The sequence below is a fragment of the Homo sapiens genome, chromosome 2 (assembly GCF_000001405.40).
Source record: "Homo sapiens chromosome 2, GRCh38.p14 Primary Assembly".
Taxonomy (NCBI): Eukaryota; Metazoa; Chordata; class Mammalia; order Primates; family Hominidae; genus Homo; species Homo sapiens.
Genome location: NC_000002.12, coordinates 150,150,087 through 150,173,037, shown reverse-complemented (window position 1 = coordinate 150,173,037; position 22,951 = coordinate 150,150,087). Strand labels below are relative to the sequence as shown.

The following is a 22,951-nucleotide window of genomic DNA, read 5'->3' as shown; positions in this document are numbered from 1 at the left end:
TGATATCATAGTTCCTCTGCCTGAAGAATTTTTTTAGCAGTTCTTACAGAATATGTCTAGCAATTAATTGCTTCAATTTTTGTTTGATATGATTTTTGGTTTTCCTTTCACTTCTTTTTACTAAATATAGAATTCTGGGTTGACACCCCCTGATGCACACACACTTTCAGATCCCCAGCACTTTCAATATGTCAGTACATTTTCTTTCGTTCTGGATAGTTTCTGATAGAAATATATTTTAATTTTTAGCCTTGTTCCTCTGTAGATAGTACATATATTTTTCTCCTAACTTCACCGTTTTCTCACTTTTGTTTTCAAAAGTTTAAATACCATATACCTAGATATGTGCGTGTGTGTGTGTGTGTATGTGTGTGCATGTGTGGTATTTATCCTACTTGGCATTCTGTGAGCTTCTTAAATCTGTGGTTTTATGTCTGTTAATATTGTAAAATTTTATGCCATTTTTTTTCAAATATTGCTTCTGCCCCATTTTCTCCTTCTTCTCTTTTTGAGATTTCAATTACACATATGTTACTCAGTTTAGAATTGTCCCACACTATTGGATGCTGTGTTCTTTATTCACTCTTTTCTCTATATTCCAGTTTGAATAATTTTCACTGGCCTATCATGCAGTTCACTGATTCTTTCCTCAGCTGTGTGGGCTCTACTGATGAGCCTGGCTTTATAGCTGTTACTATTTGTGTCTTCCAGCTTCTCCTTTTGATTCCTTCTTAGATTTTACACTCTCTGCTGAATTAATCTGATCTTACATGTTGTCTACTTTGTTCCATTAAAGCTAATAGCCTATTAATCATAGTTATTTTAAATTCTCTGTCTGATAGTCCCAATATCCGTGGTGTCATATGCAGCCTGCTCCCAAGGATTACCTTGCGTCTTCAGTGTGTGGGGGGGTATGTGTGTGTATTTGTCTTTTTACATGCCTTGCAATTTTTAGTTGACAATTAGACATCTTGTGTAGGGCTACAGATACAGAGATAAATCTCTTCTTAACGTTGGAGATGAGCATGCCTTTTCTTCAGCTGGACCTTAACTGTGGGCTCATATTCATCTATTCAGGAGTTGGGCTAAGTTTGGGGGTTTGTTGATGTTATATTACCCCAAGTGCCCCTCAGGCTTAAAATTCCTCTTGTGATACTGTGTATTTAACAGAGATTATTTCCTCAATGTCTGTTATTTCATTGGCTTTTAATCTGTCTTTGTACTGCCCCCCAATAATGATCTATCTCTTGCAGCTCTTCCGGTTGAATTTCATGGCTATTTTTACTGAGTGTGTTAGGGTGGCAGTGGGGGAAGAAAGGGTTCCCTAACGCTCTGATTAAGCCTTAGTCTCAAGCTGGGCTTTGTCCTGATATCTGGAGCTACGACCTCCACGAGTGCTCTTCCTCTCTTTAACCACCAGTTCGCCATACTCACTTTTTTCTATCATACTGAGAGGTGACAGCATACTGGCAGCCCTCGCAGCCCACGCTCGCTCTCGGTGCCTCAGCCTCGGCGCCCATTCTGGCGGCGCCTGAGGAGCCCTTCAGCCCGCCGCTGCACTGTGGGAGCCCTTTTCTGGGCTGGTCAAGGCTGGAGCCGGCTCCCTCAGCTTGCGGGGAGGTGTGGAGGGAGAGGCGCTGTCGGGAACCGTGGCTGCACGCGGCGCTTGCGGGCCAGCGCGAGTTCCGGGTGGGCGTGGGCTCGGCAGGCCCCGCACTCTGAGCGGCCGGCCGGCCCGGAAGCCCCGGGCAGTGAGGGGCTTAGCACCTGGGCTGCCTCCCCACGGGGCAGGGCTTGGGACCTGCAGCCCGCCGTGCCTGAGCCTCCCCCGCCCCACCTCCGCCATGGGCTCCTGCCTGGCCGAGCCTCCCCGACGAGAGCACTGCTCCCAGCTCCACAGCGCCCAGTCCCATCGACCGCCAAAGGCTGAAGAGTGCGGGCGCACTGCGCGGGACTGGCAGGCAGCTCCACCTGCGGCCCCAGTTCGGGATCCACTGGGAGAAGCCAGATAGGCTCCTAAGTCTGGTGGGGACTTGGAGAATCTTTATGTATAGCTAAGGGATTGTAAATACACCAATCAGCACTCTGTCTCTAGCTCAGGGGTTGTAAATACACCAATGGACACTCTGTATCTAGCTAATCTAGCGGGGAGGTGGAGAACTTTTGTGTCTAGCTCAGGGATTGTAAATGCACCAATCAGCACCCTGTCAAAATGGACCAATCAGCTCTCTGTGAAACAGACCAATCGGCTCTCTGTAAAATGGACCAATCAGCAGGATGTGGGTGGGGCCAGATAAGAGAATAAAAGCTGGCTGCCTGAGCCAGCAGTGGCAACCTACTGGGTTTTCCTTCCACGTTGTGGAACTTTTGTTGTTTTGCTTTTTGTAATAAATATTACTGTTGCTCACTCGTTGGGTCCACACTGCCTTTATGAGCTGTAACACTCACTGTGAAGTTTGTAGCTTCACTTCTGAAGCCAGTGAGACCACGAACCCACCAGAAGGAAAAAACTCTGAACACATCTGAACATCAGAAGGAAGGCTGTCCAGACAGACTGCCTTTAAGAACTGTAATGCTCACTGCGAGGGTCCGTGGCTTTGTTCTTGAAGTCAGTGAGACCAAGAACCCACCAATTCTGGACACAATACTGGTTGCAGCTTCTTAGTGTTTCCTGCTGGTTTTTTCCTTTGTTTAGATCTGTAAATATTAGGGCTTCCCACACTCTGAACTTGAAACTCTTTTCTTCTGTTCCTTAATGATTCCCACATCAATTTTCCAATCCAGACCTTCTCTCTGAACTCTCTAGACTTATAGATCATCTGTCTTTGTGCATCTCTCCTTTTATGTGTAACTGATATCTCAAACACTAAACCACAAAAGGAACCCTGGTTTAGCCCTCCTAAAAATCTACTCCCCATCTGTCTTCTCCAGCTCTTTCAAAGGCAACTCTCATTTCATTGCTTATACCCCAAACCCTTTGAGACATCCTTGATTCTTCTCATACTCTATATTCAATTAATCAATAAATTTATTTGCCTCTACCTTCAAAATATATCTAAAACTCAAGCTACCTTTATGTCTTTTGAAATTTGTAATACCTCTTGTGGCAATGAGTAGCGCTTGACACTCAATAGATTCTTCTTTATCAGTAATAGAATCTGACTTTTAGCTGACACATGGCCTCCTATATAAAAACTGTACTTTCCAGGTATGATGGTTAGTATTAGGTGTCAACTTGACTGGATTGAGGGATGGCTCAGTGGCAGCGAAGCATTAATTCTGAGTGTATCTGTGAAGGTGTTGCCAGAGGAGATTGACAGGATAGTCGGTGGACTGAGAGAGGAAGACCTGCCCTCAATGTGGGTGGGTACCATCTAATGGGCTGCAGGAATACTTACAACAAAGGAGGTGGAAGAAGGAAGACATTCAGCTTGCTTGCTTTTCTTTTTTTCTTTTTCTTGCTTCCTTTTTTTTCTCTCTTTCTCTCTCTTTTCCAGAGCAGTACCCCTTTTCTTCTCCTGCCCTAGGACATCAAATTCCAGGTTCTTTAGCCTTTGTACTCTGGGACTTGCACCAGTGGCCTTCTGGGAACTCTCAGGCCTTTGGCCTCAGAGTGAGGGTTGTACTGTTTGCTTTCCTGGTTTGGAAACTTTTAGACTTGGAGTGAGTAATGCTACCAAAGGCTTCCCTGGCTGCCAAGCTAGCCATGCTACTGGCTTCTCTCATTCTCCAGCTTGCAGACAGCCTCTCATGGGACTTCACTTTTGTGATTGTGTGAGCCAATTCAATTCTCCCTAATAAACTCCCTTTCTCATATATATATATAACCAATAGATATTTGTTCTGTCCCTCTGGAGAACCCTGATTAACACACTAGGCTTTCTTGTATCTAAGTGAGGCCAAATAACTAATTTCTGACCAATGGGAAGTAATCACAAATGTTATGCAAGCTTTGAAGGGGAGGAATATAGATAAAATGGCTGGAACAAAAATATCTCCATATGGGGAAGGGCAGGAGAACCTTATAAAAACACTCAAAACCTTATTCAAATCTTTGTGATTTGAATACTAATGACTCATACATTTAATGTTATTTACATCAGATGGTGCAATTAAAATTTATTTAGGACCAAATTTGAGCATGCAACAAAGGTGGACATTCCTTACTCTGTCAAGAAGGGAAAAAGGAAAGAGAGCAAGTAGCATTTATCAAATACCAGGAGCTCTGCTGTGGCTTTTTTCATGTTATGAAGCTTGGTTCTTACAACATCTCTTCTTGGCAGGATTATTATCCATGTTTTATGCAGAGATATGATCAAGGCTTTGGAGGTTCACTTAAAATGGTGTTGAAATGGCAGGGCTCGTTTGACCTCAGTGAATGAGTGTGAATTTGTTGATTTAAATAATAGATTGGTTTAGTGTAGAATATATTGAATTATCCCTAATGTCCCACATGGTTTTGTTTAGCAGAAATGCAGTTTCCACCCCTCAAAATCTCATGACTTTTTAGTGATGAAATCATATGTGTGGATTCAGTACAGGGTCTGAGACCTAAATAATTTTCTTAGTTCCTTTTGGCTACTATAACAAAATACCATAAACTTTAGGGCTTGTAAGCAACAGAAATGTATTTCTCACTGTTCTGGAAACTGGGAAGTTCAAGATCAAGGTGCCAGCAGATTTGATATTTGGGGAGGGCCCACTTCTGACTGTAATCTCACATAGCAGAAAAGGGGCAAGGTAGCTCTCTGGGGCCTCTGTTATAAGACCACTAATCCCATTCATGAGGGCTTATGATATAATCACCATCTACAGGCCCCATCTTAGACTATCTCATTGGTGTTTAGATTTTCAGCATATGAATTTGAAGGGCATTCAGACCGTAGCAAAGATGTTTAAGAGAAGCTAATTTTCTGCCCCCCTACACCTTCCCCTTCTAAGGAAGATTATGTAAGAGCTTTGTTATAGATTTTTAAGAAAATATTTGAATATTTGAAATGTTTGAATGTTTGAAATATATGAAATAAATAAGCACAAATAAAGCATGCCCTAGAAATGTTTCCCTCATTACTCAGTGTTTGCAGTAAGTATTTGATCTAAGTGTGTTTCAGTTTACTGATTTGCACTGTAAGCCTGAGGGACAAATAATAAAGGTTTGTAAAATAATACCAAGAAAAATGGAAACCACAGCTTTCAGATAAGAATGCTTGGTATGACTCATCTCCTGGTGGAATCACCAGAGCAGGCCCATTGTACATTTCTGCCTGGAGAGTACACCTCCACGATAGCCCAGACCTTTCCCCATCCGTACCCTCAAATTATTGGTAAATATAGTGGGCATTTGTCAGCTGAACAGCATTTGTAGGTAGCTTTGGTGAAGCAGCAGTTTCCTCCTTGCATATGGCTTTAATTTGCATACTGTTATATATGGCCTTCCAAGTTCCAAGGGGTAAATTCAACTATGTCTCTTTCATAGTAAAATTTTTCTTAGATTTAAATTTCATCAACCTGCTCAAACCTGTAAAGAGAAGCAACAGAACTAAGTCCTCAGTTTCTTTTTTTTTCCTTTTTTTTTTTTTTTTTTGAGACGGAGTCTTGCTCTTTCACCCAGGCTAGAGTGCAGTGGTGCGGTCTCGGCTCACTGCAAGCTCCGTCTCCCAGCTTCACACCACTCTCCTGCCTCAGCCTCCTGAGTACCTGGGACTACAGGCGCTCGCCACCATGCCTAGTTAATTTTTTATATTTTTAGTAGAGACGGGGTTTCACCACATTAGCCAGAATGGTCTCGATCTCCTGACCTTGTGATCCGCCCGCCTCGGCCTCTGTTTCTAGTTTCTATTTCCTATGTGGAATTTTTAAAAGAACTACATTTTAATGATAAAGAGGCAAATTCCATTTGGCAGCACTTAGGATACAGGGACCATACTTGGGAAATATTCATTAACATTCAGTAATTTAAGAATCCTTAAGGCCTAATTATCAAAGTGAGTTCAATTACCACAGGCACCCATTCATTTAATTGGCTGGAAACACACAAAGAAATTAAATGATACCAATGCCAATTTGGCCCCAAAGTCTCATTCCGTATTTATTTATCATTTTTATAAGAAGGGTGTTCATGGTGATTGCTGCTAGTTCCTCTGCTGAAACAAGCCCACAAAACCGCAAGAGCAGCTCAGCATTCTTTGACCTACTCGGGAACCCAATTAAAATTAACAGGCCTTGCATCTTCATATATCACATGTTACAGATTGTAAATACTCATCCCATTTAAGAGCAACAGAATAACTGGGTTCATAACAAATCTCCATAAGTCTAACTGATATTTACCAGTTAGGGAAATGTGACAGGTAATGGAGAAGAGACTGAGAATAAAGGAGCCTCTGCAGTATGATCATCATTTCACCCTGTCTAGAAATACTGCTGTGTCATTTCTTTGCTCCTTCAGAAAGCCCGGGAGTTCCTGCGCCAATTGTCACCGATGTTGCTTCCACTGGCTGGAGGTGCTGACTACTTTGGCTTTTTCCCTTGGGAGGTCAGACAGAGGTCATGTGGGAAGCATGCTTTGTTTACCCAGAGAGGACCTCCTGTTCTGCCCCTTGGCATGTTTACTTTCCTGGTTGCCTACTTGGAAAGCCCTATGACTGCTGGCAGGGAGAGCTCTGGTCACTTTCACTACCTTCTCAGATTTTCAGCTCTTGGGGCTTCAGTAGGACCTGCCTTTCAGTAACTTTCAGAGGCATGGGGAGCCCTTCCCTGAAAGAGAGGAGAAGGTGACATCTTAGAAACTGTGATAAAATGATCTCAGGACCCAAAAAGAAAATGGACAAGCCTGGCAATGAGAGTTTGCAATGTGATGCAATCACGGGCAATACCAGGGTGGAAATTGGATGGGCAGCTTTCTTCTCTCTAGAAGATTTTCTTTCCAAGTCCATTCTTTCTTTTCATATTTTCATGTAAGTGTGCCTTCTTTTTTGTATCTCTTCTTTATGCTAAATTTACTACCCAATTTTATTAATGTATGTTACAGCTCCTAGCAGATGTTGAAGAAATATGAATTGGTTATGATTTACAGCCTAGAGAACTGATTAAAAAAAACACACTTTATTTTTTTATAAAGTGCTTTTCTGAGTTTTAACAAAAAGGCACAGGTTGTTGAAAGGGTATCAGACACTTAAATTGACAGAATTCTGAGGATCATCTCCTTCCTGCTGCTTAATATGAGTACAGTGTCACAATTTCAATTTCCGAGACTCAACATTTACCAGGGCCATTGCCGGCATCATTGTGGATGCTGGTGTTCATTCTGTCTTCCAATTGGCAAGCCTTTTGACTTATTTAGCATTGAAAAGTCAATGGCGAGACTTACATTCTTTCTACCCCACTTTCAAAAACTTGGCAGTGTCTTATTTTCAAAGTGGTCTGATGGAATGAGAATGGGGCTCTTGAAACTGCTTGATTTTCCCGCATGAATTTTGTTTAAACCTTCACCACAAATTAGTTAACATGCAGTACGTTGCCAAAGGATGCAGCCAAGTCTTTCCCTTTATTGTTCCGGAAAGTAAGACAACACAATTCCATCCCCAGTCCACCTCTCTTTTTAACCAGTGACCCACTACAGTAATTTATTTTGGGTTATAGGTCCCATGAGTTTACACATACATTTTATTTTGAAGTAAGAACTACTTCAGCTAGTGCTTTAGCAGAAATTTTTAAAAGTAAAGTCAAAATTTATATAACAATCTTGGGTTAAGTCTCGTGTAATCAAGTCCTAACTCCCTTGAATAAAAGATAATAAAACAAACAAATACAAGAAAAAACAAGAAAAAAATGATTATCAAGAAGCTCATGGCTAAATTAAACCCACTAAAGCTGTAACTGAAAGGGTTTATTTGTGTAAGAAAGCCAATTGCCGTCTTAATGCAAGCCTTTTACATCCTTAGATCTGGGCACCCAATTTATTCTTATTGATCTTCATCTCCAACCTTAAAAGCATCTCTTAAAAGGCTGTTCGTACAGCCTAGAGAATAACATCTATAAAAGGACCTTTGAACACCAGTATTGGGTCAAGCTAACTGATGTCTCTGACTGATCGACTTACTTTGAGTACCACACGCAACTATGTTTTCTGGAATCCAGAGTAGCAGAGTAGGCAGGTATATTGTGAAGAGAGAAACTCAGAGGGAGAAGGAGCAAGGGAAGGTAGACTAGTAAGCAAATTCTTTAATTACAACTTCCTACTTCAATTCAGCAAGATGATTATTGGTTCACCTAAGAGTCAATAGTGCTCCAAGACTACAGACAATAATGAACATCAACAAAGACATAGCATGAGTATGTTTAAGTTTTAAAGTTTATATATATAAATCCCACCACAGAGCAAAGTTCAGGAAATATAGTTATGTGAAACATCAAAACATAAAGCAATCTTTGGAATATAATTTTACAAAAGAAGTAAATACATTTAAAAATTGGTTTTTTTGCTGAATGTTTGCTGCTATTTCAGGCCGTCAGTCTAAATTTATGTGGAACCATCAAAAAACCATATATATAAAAGTATATAGATTTTGTGTGGGATTTACTGGAAATTATCATATGTGTATGTATATGTAGTAATAGTAGTGAGTATTTGCTGAATGTTTACCATGTACCAGGTGCATGTAACTGGTATACTATGCATGAATACTTCTGGGGTAATCGAAAGACTTGTTTTGTTCCGTTTTTTTTGGTATACTGCTATTCTTTTTAAAAAGTTTAATATTTTAGCCTGCTTGGGCAGTATCAGTACTTTCTTTACCAGCATCCTAAGTCTACTTGGGGTTGTACAGATACTTTTATGTGAACAATCAGAAGATCTAGTACATAATAAATCAAAGTCACCGTGTAATTTAACGTCAAGTCCTCCCTGCTTTCCCAAGTTCCGCAAACCCAAAGTGGGAAAGGGATGTGTCTGGCTTTCCTCTTTCATTCACTTGCTTGCATACTCTTCCCTGCAACCCATCTGTGATGATTAAATCTATGTGTCAATTTGGTTAGGCCATAGTACCCAGATATTTGGTCAATTATTATTCTTGATGTTTCTGTGAAGGTATTTTTTTTAGATGAGATTGACATTTAAAACAGTGCATTCTGAGTACAGCAAATTGAACACCATAACATTGTGAGCCTTAGCCAATCAGTTGAAGGCCCTAATAGAACAAAGACTGACCTCCTGCAAGCCAGGAGGAATTCTGCCAGCAGACTGTCTTTGGATTCTAACTGAAACTCTTTGCTGAGTCTCCAGCCTGGCAAATGTTGAAAAATCTGTCTATATCTCTCTGGAACACTTGCTTGATTCTTCCCAAATCTCATTGCAGAAGCTAGGTGCACTCACCCTCTTGCAATAACCTTGAACACACCAATGCATCCTTGCACTGGGTGGTTGCATGTGACTCCTTTCAAACACTGATGCTCCCCTCTGGCTTTAGCTGCTGGGGTCCTCCATCCCTCTCAGGCAACTCTGTGTGACTGTACATGTACCAGGTAACTTTCTCTCTCCTGGATAGTCAGCATCTGCTCCTCAGAAAAGCAACTAAACCCTTTGCTCTGACAAATACTTGCTCCGCAGGCTGTCTCTAACCCATAAAAATGGTCCTGCCTCTGTTTCCCAGGCACTGAGCCCATCTCTGTTTATTTACCTTTCCTGATCCCTGAAGCAGGAGTGAGATCCACAATGTTCTTCAGCCCCAGACACGGTATAGGCAGGTCTCAAAATATTCACATTGAATTCCTTTCTCAGTTCAAATTTACAAAACAGTGGGCTAAAAGGTAACAAGACCACACATCCCAGCCATCCACTCCCAGACAAATTCTAGGGACCAGTCAGCAACAGATCTTTCCAAATAAATCTCTTCATAACTAGTTCCTTTTTTTCTCCCCTCTGCATTTTATAGTTTTGAAGAAGCTAGAACTTCTAGAGCTGTGTAGCCAATTCATTGCACTTTTCTTTGTATGTTCTAAGTTCAGCTTTACCATCACCTTGAAACCTACAGCTATCACACAGATACTTCAGTGAAAGCAGACATACAAAGCCATATTTGAATTTCTTGCCATACACCATTTTAAGCATTAAACAGAAATTGCCTTGTTTTATTCCTGCAGCAAACCCAAGAAGCAGGTACTTTATTATTCCCATTTTACATATGATGAAACTATGCCAGATGTATTAAATAACCTTCCCTGGGTCACCCGGTACATGTCAGAGCTGAGTTGGAGACCCAGGGGGTCTGATTCTGATTCACGATTGTAACCACTGCGACATTATGCCAGTCGCTGAATATTTAATTGGCACTCTTCCAAAATGCAAGTGTACAGCATGATTGGCGAGTTTACAATTTAATTAACTTTTGTAAGGAAGAGAGATGCATATTTCTAACATTCAGAAATCAATCAGTGCTTTATAAGACCAGAGCACTGAGCACTGGTTATCTGCTGAATACCTAGCAGGAAGTAGGGGCTGTGGGCAGTTTGGAGGATAAAGAAAGAAGCACAGGCTTGAGCTATTAATCCAGTACTATGGACGAGAAGAGGAAGGTATGACTTCACTTGGACCTCATCCATTTCAATTCTTTTGTTAAAGTAAGCTAGTCTACAAAAGGGAGGCATATAGAAAGATGGAATAGGAAGTCATGTTATACTGTACAATTCCAGGAAGCTGGGAAGGCCCCTTTCCCCCAAAGACATATTCTCCCTCTGCTTTGGGATGATTAATATCTCACAGCCAAAGACACTCATTTTTTGTTTAAACTGTCTTGGCTTAAGATTGTGTTGCACATTCAAATGCGGTGCTTCTGGGAGAGTTAACACCTTGCTACAGGTCTTCCTTTACTTTTTCTCTGTAAGTGTTCATCATCTTTATTAAAGAAAGCAGGTGAGGAAAAGAACAAGGAGCAAAATTCATGATAAAGTAAAGAGGAAAGCGTGTTTTCACCAAAAGTGAACTGTGTCACAGACCTCATTTGCCCACTCACGAGTTTTACTGTTGTAGAGATCAGCTGTTTCCAAGCTGGGGTGGCTGTAGATCTTTAATGGGGCACATTGAAGGGGGTTCTAAGAGGTGCACCAATGCTGCTGTAAGCCAAATAAATAGTTGTCGGTCATAGTTATAGCAGGGAGAAAAAGCTACTGTGCTACAATTGACTGAAGTATGGGCAGATTGCTCTGAGAGGGCAGGAAGAAAGACACATAATGGGGCTTTTTATATTAATCATAAAACACACAATAATAACAAAGGGATTGAAATTTCTCTGTGTCATGAAATAATAGAGATTTTCAATTTACCCCGATGTCAGAGACAAGCTAAGTTGGAATCCTCATTGCTGTGGGGGAGGGTCTGAGGCAGGAGGAAAGGTTGTTGATAAAGGGGTGCTAGATGTAGGAGAAATTATTGGTTAAAATAATTATTGGTTAGAAGACAGCAGATCACTACTCAGGAGAGGCTGAGGTGGGAGGATCACCTGAACCCAGGGGTTTGAGACTGCAGCTAACTATGATCTCCCCACTGCACTCCAACTCCTCCATCTGCTAAAAAGAAGAGAGCAGATCCCAGCTAGATCCTGAGAAGAAAGGGGCAGGGGGTGGGAGTGTGAAATAATATTTGGTAAGGCATGCTTGACACATGACTGGCCAACACAATGTGTGATGTTCAATTTTAAATGGCCTCCCTTGCTGTGGTGTGATAGCACCCTGCTGTTACTCCCAGATCTTTACCGAAAGTCTTATTTATGCACAACACTATTGTACGGGTAACATTTTAGCCAATGAAGGGGAGGAATTTGTGTCCATGCCTGGGGTGATGAAATCAGATGGAAGGATGGCAGTCATGAAAGTCAGATGAGTTGCGGGGAAAAAGAAACCGAGTTGGAAGGAAGAAGCAACCTACTCAGGAATCTTCAGAACATAGTGAGCGAACCGCAGACAGCTAGGATGGCTACCTAGGAATGTATTTTGTTTGTCAAAGGAAAGAATGACCATTGACTACAAAACAGGGAGAAACTTAGGTGACCTTGTATCTACCACTATTTTTCAAATGTATGCAAATGCAATTGCACTTCATAGTATATATAATGTATAAATGTGTATTATACATACATACGTACATAGGAGCTTTTGAGCATTGTGTATTTTTCTGAATTAGGGAGACTACAGTCACATAGGAGATGGCAATAATTTTTCATGTTAAAAAGGAATACACTTAAAAGGGATGAAAAGAAAAGCCTGAAAAATCTCCTTTGAAGTTTTCAGTACACCAATAAGAAATCTATGAGAAAGGATCTGAATTTAAAATCCATGGGAAGGTTTAGTTTCCCCATGAACAGGATGGCTTCTCCCACACTGACTTACTACGATCCTCTTTCTTCTCAGAACACGTGCTTTGAGAACCATTGCATTTCATTTCTGTACCTTCATGGGCTTCAGGCCTTGACATTAAGAAAAAGATTGTCAGAGATAAGAAAAATGTATTAATCTGCTCCTCTTGTTTTGATTGCTCTGCTTTTAATTTTAATACACGTATTTTCTTACATAAATAGAGTGTTTAACCACGATTCTCATTGATTAACTTTTCCCCCCAATTACGACTATCCCGTCAAGGCCGGGGTCCCTAAGGAAGCAGCTGAGAGAACACATACTGCACACATGTGCCAAATTATTCTGTAGGCTGAGAAATTAACTAAAAATGAGTAATATGCTCTCAATTTAAACCTGGCAGGGGGGAATTGTACTTTCATACCCAAATTGGAATCACATTTCCTCCACGGGGACTTTTCCAGCTTTTGGCATAGCCTATGAACAGGGCAAGCTTGGTTCCTCATGGTATAACAAAACTGGGTTCACATTATAGCTTCCTGTGGTTTAGTGAGGACGGCAGAGATGAAGATAAAACTAATGGGAAAGCCCTGGATTCCCTTTTATCACCAAACACATGAGCATCAACAGAGCCTTAAATAAAGCCAACACAGTCCATTCTTAATGCTCAGTTCTCACAATTAGCAGACTCCCTAAGCATCTATAATTGTAGTTGGACACTTTTTGGGTACATTTTTTGGGGATACTTGTTGGGCATCCTTTTTCAAAAAAATGTCTTTTCTGAGTAATTAAGGGTACCTGCAACAAAACATATTACTAAGTGGCCCTTGAAATTTCTACAATTTATTCTAAGGTATAATTTCTCTGTCTCTGGCCTCCAGTCATTTTATTGCTAGAGGGATAGATGAGACAGGAGAGAAAGGAAGAGAAAGAAATATGAAATTTATCAGCAATCAGGTCATTCAGCACCTGTTGAAAGTATATCAATAAATTTTTGAAGTATATTTTCTTTAAGCAGGATTTGAAGCTCCTTGATGGGACATTAAATTTTGTCTTTTATTCATCTATCACAGTAACATCAAAGTAACTCCCAACCACAGCTGCAGACTAGAAACGCCTGAAGAGCTTTTACGTCATATCAGTGTTTAGGCCCCGCTGCAGACCCGTTAAGTCTCCATTTCTTGTGGGTGAGGTGCAGACTTGAGTCATTTCTGAAAGCTCCAGGTGATTCTATTGTTCAGGCAGGATGGAGCTAGCTCATTGCTTTACCTAGATTAGGTGTCATTTGCTATTTTAAGGAACCATTAAATCTTTTTAATCACCCCCCAATTCCCATGAAAATAGCAACACTTCATAGATTTAACACAGTTGTTCTGTAAGAAATTATCATTAACCTATCCCATGGTTAATTGGATAAAGCTTTTGTTGAAAACAAGCAAACAAAATAAAGCCACTACCTTATTTGCACCTCCATTTCATCCTTCTTGCAAAAGGTCCCTGAGATACCTGCTGATTAAAATCCCATGAGGTGCCTTTGCACACGTGACATATTCCTGCACATATACCTTTAATATTCTCCTTATTTTTAAAGAAAGACACACAAAAGGAAAATGAAAGAGGCTTACTTGAATATGGCACTTCTGACTGAATGGTCAGAGTACAATTTAAGAACATTTTGTCATGATCAAAATTATAAAATATAGTTCAAAGTCATATTAGTTTAAAAAAGTTGAAACCAATTTTTGGAAATGTTTGAGACAGTCTTTAATACAATCAATTTATACAAGTGCAATGCAATATTTCTGCTTTCTGTGTATGAACTCCCCAGAGAGATTAGTTTTGGTTTTCTCTCCTGGAACACGGAAATATAGAACCTTGAGATGTCTGTGAACAGTAAATGACATAATGGAGGAAAAATCGATATTTAGGTTGCAACACAATATTCTGGTATATGGTATTTTTATTATTGCTTCACCTTATTAACCTTAAAATTTTATATGCAAATGAATATTTTAGCTGGGAAACAATGCAAATATAATCATTAATTGTAACTTTTATTAAGCAATTACTAGGTACTCAACTTCTTGTTAAGTACTTTATATGATTTCATTAAACCTTCACAGCAACCCAGTAAAGAAAGTACAGTTATTATCCTTATTTTACAGATTTGGAAACTGAGGTTTATGGGTTCTAAGTCTTCCAGCAATTTCAAGTGAAGGTTTCCAGTAGGTGTAAAAATACTTAAATTTTTCTGCAATTATTGGTCTAAGAATCCGGACTGATTTGTTCCTCTTTATATCTTTGTATATTCTCATATCAAAGACAATTTCATTTAGATGTAAACGCACAGTGAGAGCACTGAGAAAAGGAATGCCATTGTTACTTGGTTCACCAGAGTCATGCACCTCAGTCATGCTAGATTCCAGCTCCAGATGACAGCCATTCTCTCCATGGCCTTTCCTTGGACTCCACCAGACACTAAAAATAAAATAATTGCCTTATTCTTATATATCGATTATATGATACGTGTGCCATCCTAACTTAAAAGACAAACTCTAGATGTAGGGCTTCCTAATTCTTCAAATGAGGTATACTGTACTAAGGTTCCAACTCGTTTTCTTCTTGTTTTTCATTTGAAATGGAAGCATGGTGACAATGGAGAGATTATTTTAGGTGATAAAGGCCTGTGCAATTGTACTATGAAGGTAACTCTCAGGCAGGGCTGAGGAGAGAAAAGGAGGTGACCTGAATGCTCTTTTACATATCCACAAGGTGACCAGTCCCATCTTAGAATAGGGAGTAAATTATGCCTAAATCCAGCATCACATGCAGCTTAATAGATAATAAGCAAACACCATTGCAACCATGTGCTGTTTCATTACAATGCCATCTTTGATTTGTCTCTGTCTACCAGATTCTAGTGATTTTAACGAAGCTTTACCATTCTGCAAAATTACTAATTCATTGGCCTATGTCTCAAATGCATTGTGTATGATAGAATCATCTTGAAAAAGCAAGAGAAATATATCCATCTTAATGCTGACTGGGACCTCAGTTTGGATTTTATTGTAGCTTATATTTTATTTCAAAGTTACTTTATCAAAGCATTTAAGGGATGCAAACTTTACCTTTTGACACCTAAAGTCAAAGTACTAATACCAGGAATGGTTTCAATAGACTTCTGCAATTCATTGAGGAGATCATAAAAAAATAGCTTGCTTAAATTTGCAAAAGCTTTGAGGAAAGAAATGAGGATGAAACAATCATATTTGTTCAGTCTTTTCATATATCCTCTGTTGAAACCTCACGACGACCTGGGAGATTTCTTAGAAACAATATTGCAAGTGGTTGATTTATTGGCATGGAGGGCAGCAATATGAAATAGCCAGGGTCGGCACACTACTTTCTTCAGCAGGAAATCCAAACGGAGATCTGATTCTGTCTATTTATCTGAAATGATTTACTAAGTGATTCATTGCTTTGAGTTTATAAAGAACTGAGGTTTGGCTAGGAGTGTGTAATGTTTGGGAGGGTATGGAATATCAACCACATGGAAGAGAAACGAAGGACTTTGCTAAGCAGTACAAACCCTCATGAGCAATATTAATGTTGTCTTCTGACTATGCCATATGTACAAGCCTTACAAAAGACTAATGTCTTCAGATGTACTGTGATTAGCTTAAACCATGTCTGTGTTCTGGACAGCCCATCAGAGCCTGCTGGCTCACAGCCCACCATGACAGCCTGAGTTTGAGACATTTGCATCAAATCAGTTAAGTACTGCAGAGTCTCCTGCCACATTTATGTGGATGTCAGTAAATTTGCCACAGAACTCCATTAAAGGTCACCAAATTCCACTGGGGAAAACTTGGTTTCCAATTCTGGCACTGTCATTTCCCTAATTTGTGACTTTGCACAAGTCCCTTAATTTCTCTGCAGCATTAACAATCTCAAAAGTATAACAGCAGCAGTAAGGTGTTCTCACAGAGCTAGGGTGAGGCTCAGACAAGACCACGTGAAAATCCGTTCTGAATTGGCAAAGTGCTACATGTTAGCTGGCCTCTTTCTGCACCTACACCAATCCCCAACCAAGCTCTGTCACCACTTAGCAGCTTTGGGGGAGGTAGTCTGTGGCAAAGCTAAACCACATTCTCCATAGAGCCCTGACCCCAAGGTAACAGTTGAGATTTGCTGAGCTTTTCCATCACATTCCCTTCTTTTCCAGAACCGTGGATTTCAGTAGAAAATGCCTTGACAAGAGTTTAGCTGACAGGCTGGAAACCAGAGCAGGAAAGATAATGTGAAAGAACCACATGAAAACATACACATTTCTTCAACGTGAATAGGAACATTTTATGCTTCTGTTGATATTTTTTGTTCCTTTTTTATCCTTTATCATTTTTCAAAAAAATTATTTTAAAAAATAGTTTATATTAAGAAAAATAATATAATGAATAAAGGTATAGAAAAAATATAAATAATCACAAAACCACCACCCAACGAAATAAAAAGAAAGTTATCAATGCAATAAAAGCCCACCCCTCCCCTCAGCCCTGTGTATTTCTTCCCTATCATAACCACTGACCTTCCCTTTTAGAGTTAGCTACTATCCTGAATTTTATATTAATCACTATCTTGTTCTGCTTTACAGTTTTACTACCCAAGTATTCATCTTCAAATAACATAATTTACATTTGAGAACTATCTTCAAGATTTTATATAAATGAAATCATGCTATATGTATATATATATATATACATATGTATATTCTTGCCTTTGATTCAACATCATGTTTGAAAAAGTCATTCAGTTGGTTGCATGTAGCTGTATTTTATGAATATTCACTGTAGAATAACATTTTATTTGTAAATATACAGTGCATTTTGTATATTGTTATGCTGTTGATGGACATTTGGATTATTTCCAGTTTGTGGCTATTAGAAACAACGATGTTTGAGAAAGATTCTTACACTTGTCAATATGTGCAACAGTTTCTCTACTGTAGTCATGTTCTGTGAAAGGATGTGCACATCTTCAGCTTTACAAGATAATACCAGGTAGTTTTTCAAAATACTTGTACCACTGTGCAATTTTAACAGCTCTTGGCTTTTCTCTACATGACATCATTTAGTATTTTGATTTTATCTTAAACTAGATTTACAATTTTATTTTTTTTTTGAGACAGGGTCTCACTCTGTTGCCCAGCCTGGATTGCAGTGGCATAATCTAGCTCACTGCAGCTGCAGCCTCGATCTCCCAAGCTCAAGTGATCCTCCCACCTCAGCCTCCTGAGTAGCTAGGACTACAGGCATGCACCACCACACCCAGCACATTTTTTATTTTTTAAAATATTTTTGTAGAGAGAATTTGCTATGTCGCCCAGGCCATTGTTCTTCCTCGCCCTCCCCAAGTACATGAGCCACTGCACCCAGCATGAAAAATTACAGCTTATAATTTTAGTTCTTTGCTCTTCTGACATAGCTTTGGGACATGGTCTAAATTAAATATTATTGGTGCTCTGGGTGGGTTTATAGGATTGGCCTGTATATTTCGTGTCCTAGGCCTGCCATAACAAATTTCCACAAACTAGGTTGCTGAAAACAACAGAAATTTATTCTCTCACAGCTCTGGAGACCTGAAGTCAGAAATCAAAGTGACAGCAGGGCCGTACTTCCTTGGAAGGCTCTAGGGGAGAATCTTTCCTGCCTCCTCCTAGCTGCTGGAGGCTCGCAGTGGTCCTCGGTGCTCTGTGGCCTGCAGCTCCTCTCTGCCTCTATCTTCACATGGCCTTCTGCTCTGTGTCTCTGTGTGTCCTTTCCTCTGAGTGTCCTTTCCTCTTATAAAGACACCAGTCATTGCATTCAGGGCTTACTCTAAATCCAGGATGATTTCATCTGGAGATCCTTAACTAATTACATCAGCAAAGACCCTGTGTTCAAATAAGGTTACATTCACAGGTACTGGAATTAGAACTTCGGTGTATCTTTTTGTGGAACACAATTCAAGCCACTACAGCTTGCACTGAGGGAAGGGAAAAGGAAGGGAGGAGAAAAATTATTAGCTTGTGAAACAATTACTACACATACTACATAATTTTTGATTGCTTAAGATGTTTGCTTTTCTCACGGGGTAGAAGTTAAAAAGCTGCCCACACAAGATCACACACCTGCTTTAAAAAGAAACTCTTTTGATTCTATTAGGTTGCCTTTGCATATGGGCAAGTAGTTGAAAGAAATAGGTCAGGGTTCTGAGGAGGTCACCTAGGGCATGTGTGCCCTACCTTTGCACCTGAGTCCCCTACTGAAGCATGAGATGACAACAGTGGTAGAACTCAGAAGATGTCCTGGAAAGGTGCCATTTGTCCTGGGGACACTCTGATTTTGTGTGGGTGATTTTCTGTTTGCTAAAAGTCCTGGTCTTCATTCTTTTACAATTTGGTAGGGCAGACCTTACTGTTAGAAGGGAAAATATCTCATGGTTGCAGGAGCCAAGCTAAAAGCTCCACTGATTGAACTCATCCCGCCCTTCATCAGCCTTAGTGCCGTGACTCACACCTTTATAGAGTTTACAGTGTGGGTTCTACTAAATGTGGGAGCACCCTGTTAAAAGTCAAATGTCTCAACTGGGGTTGGGGTGTTGAAGGAAGAGGACATTAAATGATTGTTAGACATCACTACTTGAAACATTGGCTTAACAGATAATATCTTACTATTTATATGGCAGAGTTCTAAGGTGAGTGTTAACCTTGGAATCCATAGCTTCAGAGGCAGGGAGTATGGGGACCAGTTAAAGAAGGAATGGATTAGAGAAAGCAACTTGGTGAGATAACACCTCCTATCACAACACCAGAACCTTTGAACACATCAGTGTCAGACCTGGTAACTTGCCATCTCTTGCAGTTAAGACCAAAGATATCTTTCTCTTGATTCTGCCTTCCTGATATTTATCAGCTAGGACTAAATCTTGGCTCCACCTTTTACTCCAACTCTTGTGTATGTTTCTCTCAATTCTTGATGATTTCTGTCTAAAATAATAGGTAAATGACTCTTTAAAAAACTTTATTGCAATATAATTTATGTACAATAAATACAATTATGTGAGTTTTGACACCCGTATACACCCAAGAAACCATCACTACAATGGAGACACGGCATTTTTATCACCATCTCCCTCCCCAATTCCTCTTTCCTCTCTAAAATTGATTTTACACATTGCCTTTGGCACCAGGCAACCACAGGTCTACTTTCTGTCGTTACAGATTGTTTGCGTTTTCTAAATTTTATACAAAAGTGTAAAAATAACAGAATGCTCTGTTTCTTTCAATCAACATAATTTTGAGATTCATCTATGTTGCTAAATTAGTACTTTGATCTTTTTTATTGCTAATTATTATTTCTTTGTGTGGACACATTGCAGTTTATACATTCATCTGTTTTATAGACATTTGGGTCCCCTCCCTCTGATTTTTGATTATCAAAAAATAATTGCCATAAACATTTGTGTACAAGTTTTTGTGTGGCTATATGTTTTCATCTTAGGCAAATATCTAGGAGTAGAATGTCTGGATTTAATGGTAGATGTATGTTCAGCTTTAGCAGAAGCTGCCAAACATTTTTCCAAATTGATTTTACCATTTTGTAGTCCCAAGAAAATAGATACAAATTTTAGTTGCTTTATATTCCAACCAACATTTGATGTTAGTCATTTTAATTTTAGCTATTTCAATGAGTATGTAGAGGTATCTCATGGTGATTTTAACTTTTTTCCCTGATGACTTATGATGTTGAGCACTTTTAAATGTACTTATTAGATGTCATGTGTTCTTCTCTGAAATGTCTTTTCTTTTTTTTATATTTACAGCAGCTTTGTTCGTAATTGTCAAAACTTGGAAGCAACCATGATGCCGATATCCTTCAGCAAGTGAACAAATAAATTAACTGTGGTACGTCCTGACAATGGAATATTATTCAGCACTAAAAAGAAATGTGCTATCAAGCCATGAAAAGCCATGGAGGAAACTTAAATGCATATTACTAAGTGATAGAAGCCAATCTGAAGAGGTTACATACTCTGTATTCCAAGTATATGACATCTGGAAATGACAAAACTATGGACACCATAAAAAGATCAGTGGTTACCAGGGGTTGGGGATTGGGGGATGGATACCTGGAGCACAGAGGATTTTTAAGGCAGTGAAACTAGTCTATATGACACTATAAAAATGGATACGTGTCATTATACATTTGTCAAAGCTCATAGGATGTACAACAGCAATAGCAAACTCTAATGTAAACTGTGGACTTTGAGTGATTATGATGTGTCAACATAGGTTCATCGGCTGTTAACAAATGGACCCCTCTGATGGAGCTATAAATATGTGACAACTTGAATTCTGCTTAATGGACTTCCTTTCTTTCTTATTTCCTTTCTTTCTTTCTTTCTTTTTTTCTTTTTTTTTTTTTTGGTTTGTTTCTTGCATCTTATGTTATCTCTATGGTAAGTTTAGCTAAATGAAAAATTCCCAGGATTGTAAACTGATTGATTAGAAATTATTTGATTTTTCTTTATTTCATTTTATGTTACTTTTTAAGACCCAGTCAAGGAACATTTCCATATGATGTGCGTGTATCCATAGAATTATATCATGGCTGCATATGCAGTTTTAGCCTATGCTATAAAATGCCTGCTTTTTAAAAAAAGACGTTATTTTCTTAGAACAGTTTTAGGTTCACAGCAAAACTGAAAGGAAGTTACAGAGATGTCCCATATACCCCTTGCCCCCGCCACACATTTGAAACATCTTTTCAAATCTTTTCCTCATTTATTAAATAGCTTGTTTTTCTCATTATTGAGTTGTGATATATCTTTATGTATTCTGAATAAAGTCCTTCGTCAGATCTACATATTACGAATAACTCCTCTCACTTCGTGGCTTGCTTTTTAATGTTCATAATGTTGTCTTACAAAGAGAAAAAGGTTTTCATTTGATAAAATACAATTTTTTTATTTTTAAAATTTATGATTTTGTGTTTTCTGTGTTCTGTGTAAAAATCTTTGCCTATCCCAGGGATACAAAGATTTTTATTCTTTTTTTATAAGAAGTTTTATAGTTAAGTTTTACCTTCAGGTCTGTGATGTATTTTAAGTTAATTTTTTCATATGCCATGATGTAAGAGATAATGATCCTTTTTATACAGATACCTGTGTGCTTTCACTCCAGCAGTATATAATCGATAAATATTTCTACATATAATCTATCTCTATATCTACATTAATCTAACATGAATTCATATTAATGTCTCCTACTCTAATCAATTACCATATAGATCATTCTAGCTATTGTCAGGTTTTAGATTTTAGTATATATAATAGTACACTAGTTGTTACTGGGTTTTACTTAGTAATTCCATTTGTTTAATAGCTATAAAACTATTCAGAATTTCTCTTTCATGTTGTAGTTTTGCTAATTTTTACCTTTAAAGGAATTTGTCCATTTTATTTAAGTTCTCAGGTTTATTTTACTTCTGTTTTTTTGGTCCTTTCTGTGTTTCGGTATCTGTCCTGAAGACGCCTGACTTGGTGCCTTTGCCTGACAACTCTTTAGTGTTTAACTAAAGGCAGCGAAACCATCCCCAGACATGAATTGGCATGAGCAGAAGAATCACATTAAAAGATTGGCTAGAAAACCTATTGCTGTTTAAAGAAAAGGATTTATTAAAAGTAAGAGCATCAGTGGTGCATCCTTATGTCCTCCCTTTCTTAGAAAATCAGTTTTCATAATTTCTCTTTGAATCTGACAGGCTTTAATTATATAACTGGTAGAGAAATTTAACTTTGATTTTCAACATGCAAGAAAAAGAGCCAGGAAACTATATGTATATATTAATGTATTAGCTAATATTTAGTGCAGAGAAGTACAAAGGAGAAAACAAGAGTTGGATAATTTTCCTTGTCAGATAACTTTTTGGTATTTTTATAAAATTAGCAATGTATGAGGCTAAAAATATACAAAAATGTACAAGTCAAAAAAATAAAATTCTTTTCCTTTGTGCCCACCCCACCTCCCAGGCTTTCTCCAAAGTGTAACTGATTGACGGTTTTATATATCTTACAGTGGGGGTTGGAGGTCATTGCATGTCCTTGTGTCTTTCTTTTCCCTGCACGTTTGTATGTTTATTTCATAACAAAATAATCATACTAGATAGACTGTCCTACACTTTGCTTCCTTCACTTGCATTATGTGATATTTCCATATAATTTCATACAGGTCTAATTTATTCTTTTTAATGACTTTACAGTGTTTTATTATTTTACAGTCCCACATCCCTGCAGATGGACTTTGGTCGTATCTAGTTTTAATCTTTTACAGACAGTGCTGCAATGGACACCCATATGTGTGAAGATAAGGCCATGCCACACACAAATAATTAAACACACATATTAACATAAAATTTTTTCATGTATATTCAGGGGCATTTTTAGAAGTAAACTTTATTTGAGTGTGTGTATATGTAGTAAAATTACTGGGTCAAAGACATGTTTATTTTATATTTTGATAGGTATTGGCAAATTTTCCTTTTGTAAAATTATACCAAATTATTATCTC

The 22,951-nt window shown here is 38.8% G+C and overlaps 2 long non-coding RNA genes across 3 annotated transcripts in view; one reads left to right on the top strand and one right to left on the bottom strand.

The window, feature by feature from the left end:
• The window catches only part of LINC01818 (long intergenic non-protein coding RNA 1818), a 186,703-nt gene extending 183,154 nt beyond the window's left edge, over window positions 1–3,549 (bottom strand). For both annotated transcript variants that reach the window (NR_187171.1, NR_187172.1), the window contains exon 1: window positions 3,399–3,549. This is a non-coding gene — a long non-coding RNA (long intergenic non-protein coding RNA 1818). The remainder of the gene's footprint in view (window positions 1–3,398) is intronic.
• A 3,159-nt stretch (window positions 3,550–6,708) lies between these two features.
• On the top strand, window positions 6,709–22,405 carry LOC105373682 (uncharacterized). The gene is made up of 2 exons (XR_923467.3): window positions 6,709–6,956; window positions 20,206–22,405. It is a non-coding gene; the product is annotated as an uncharacterized LOC105373682 (long non-coding RNA).
• Window positions 22,406–22,951: the final 546 nt, after the last annotated feature.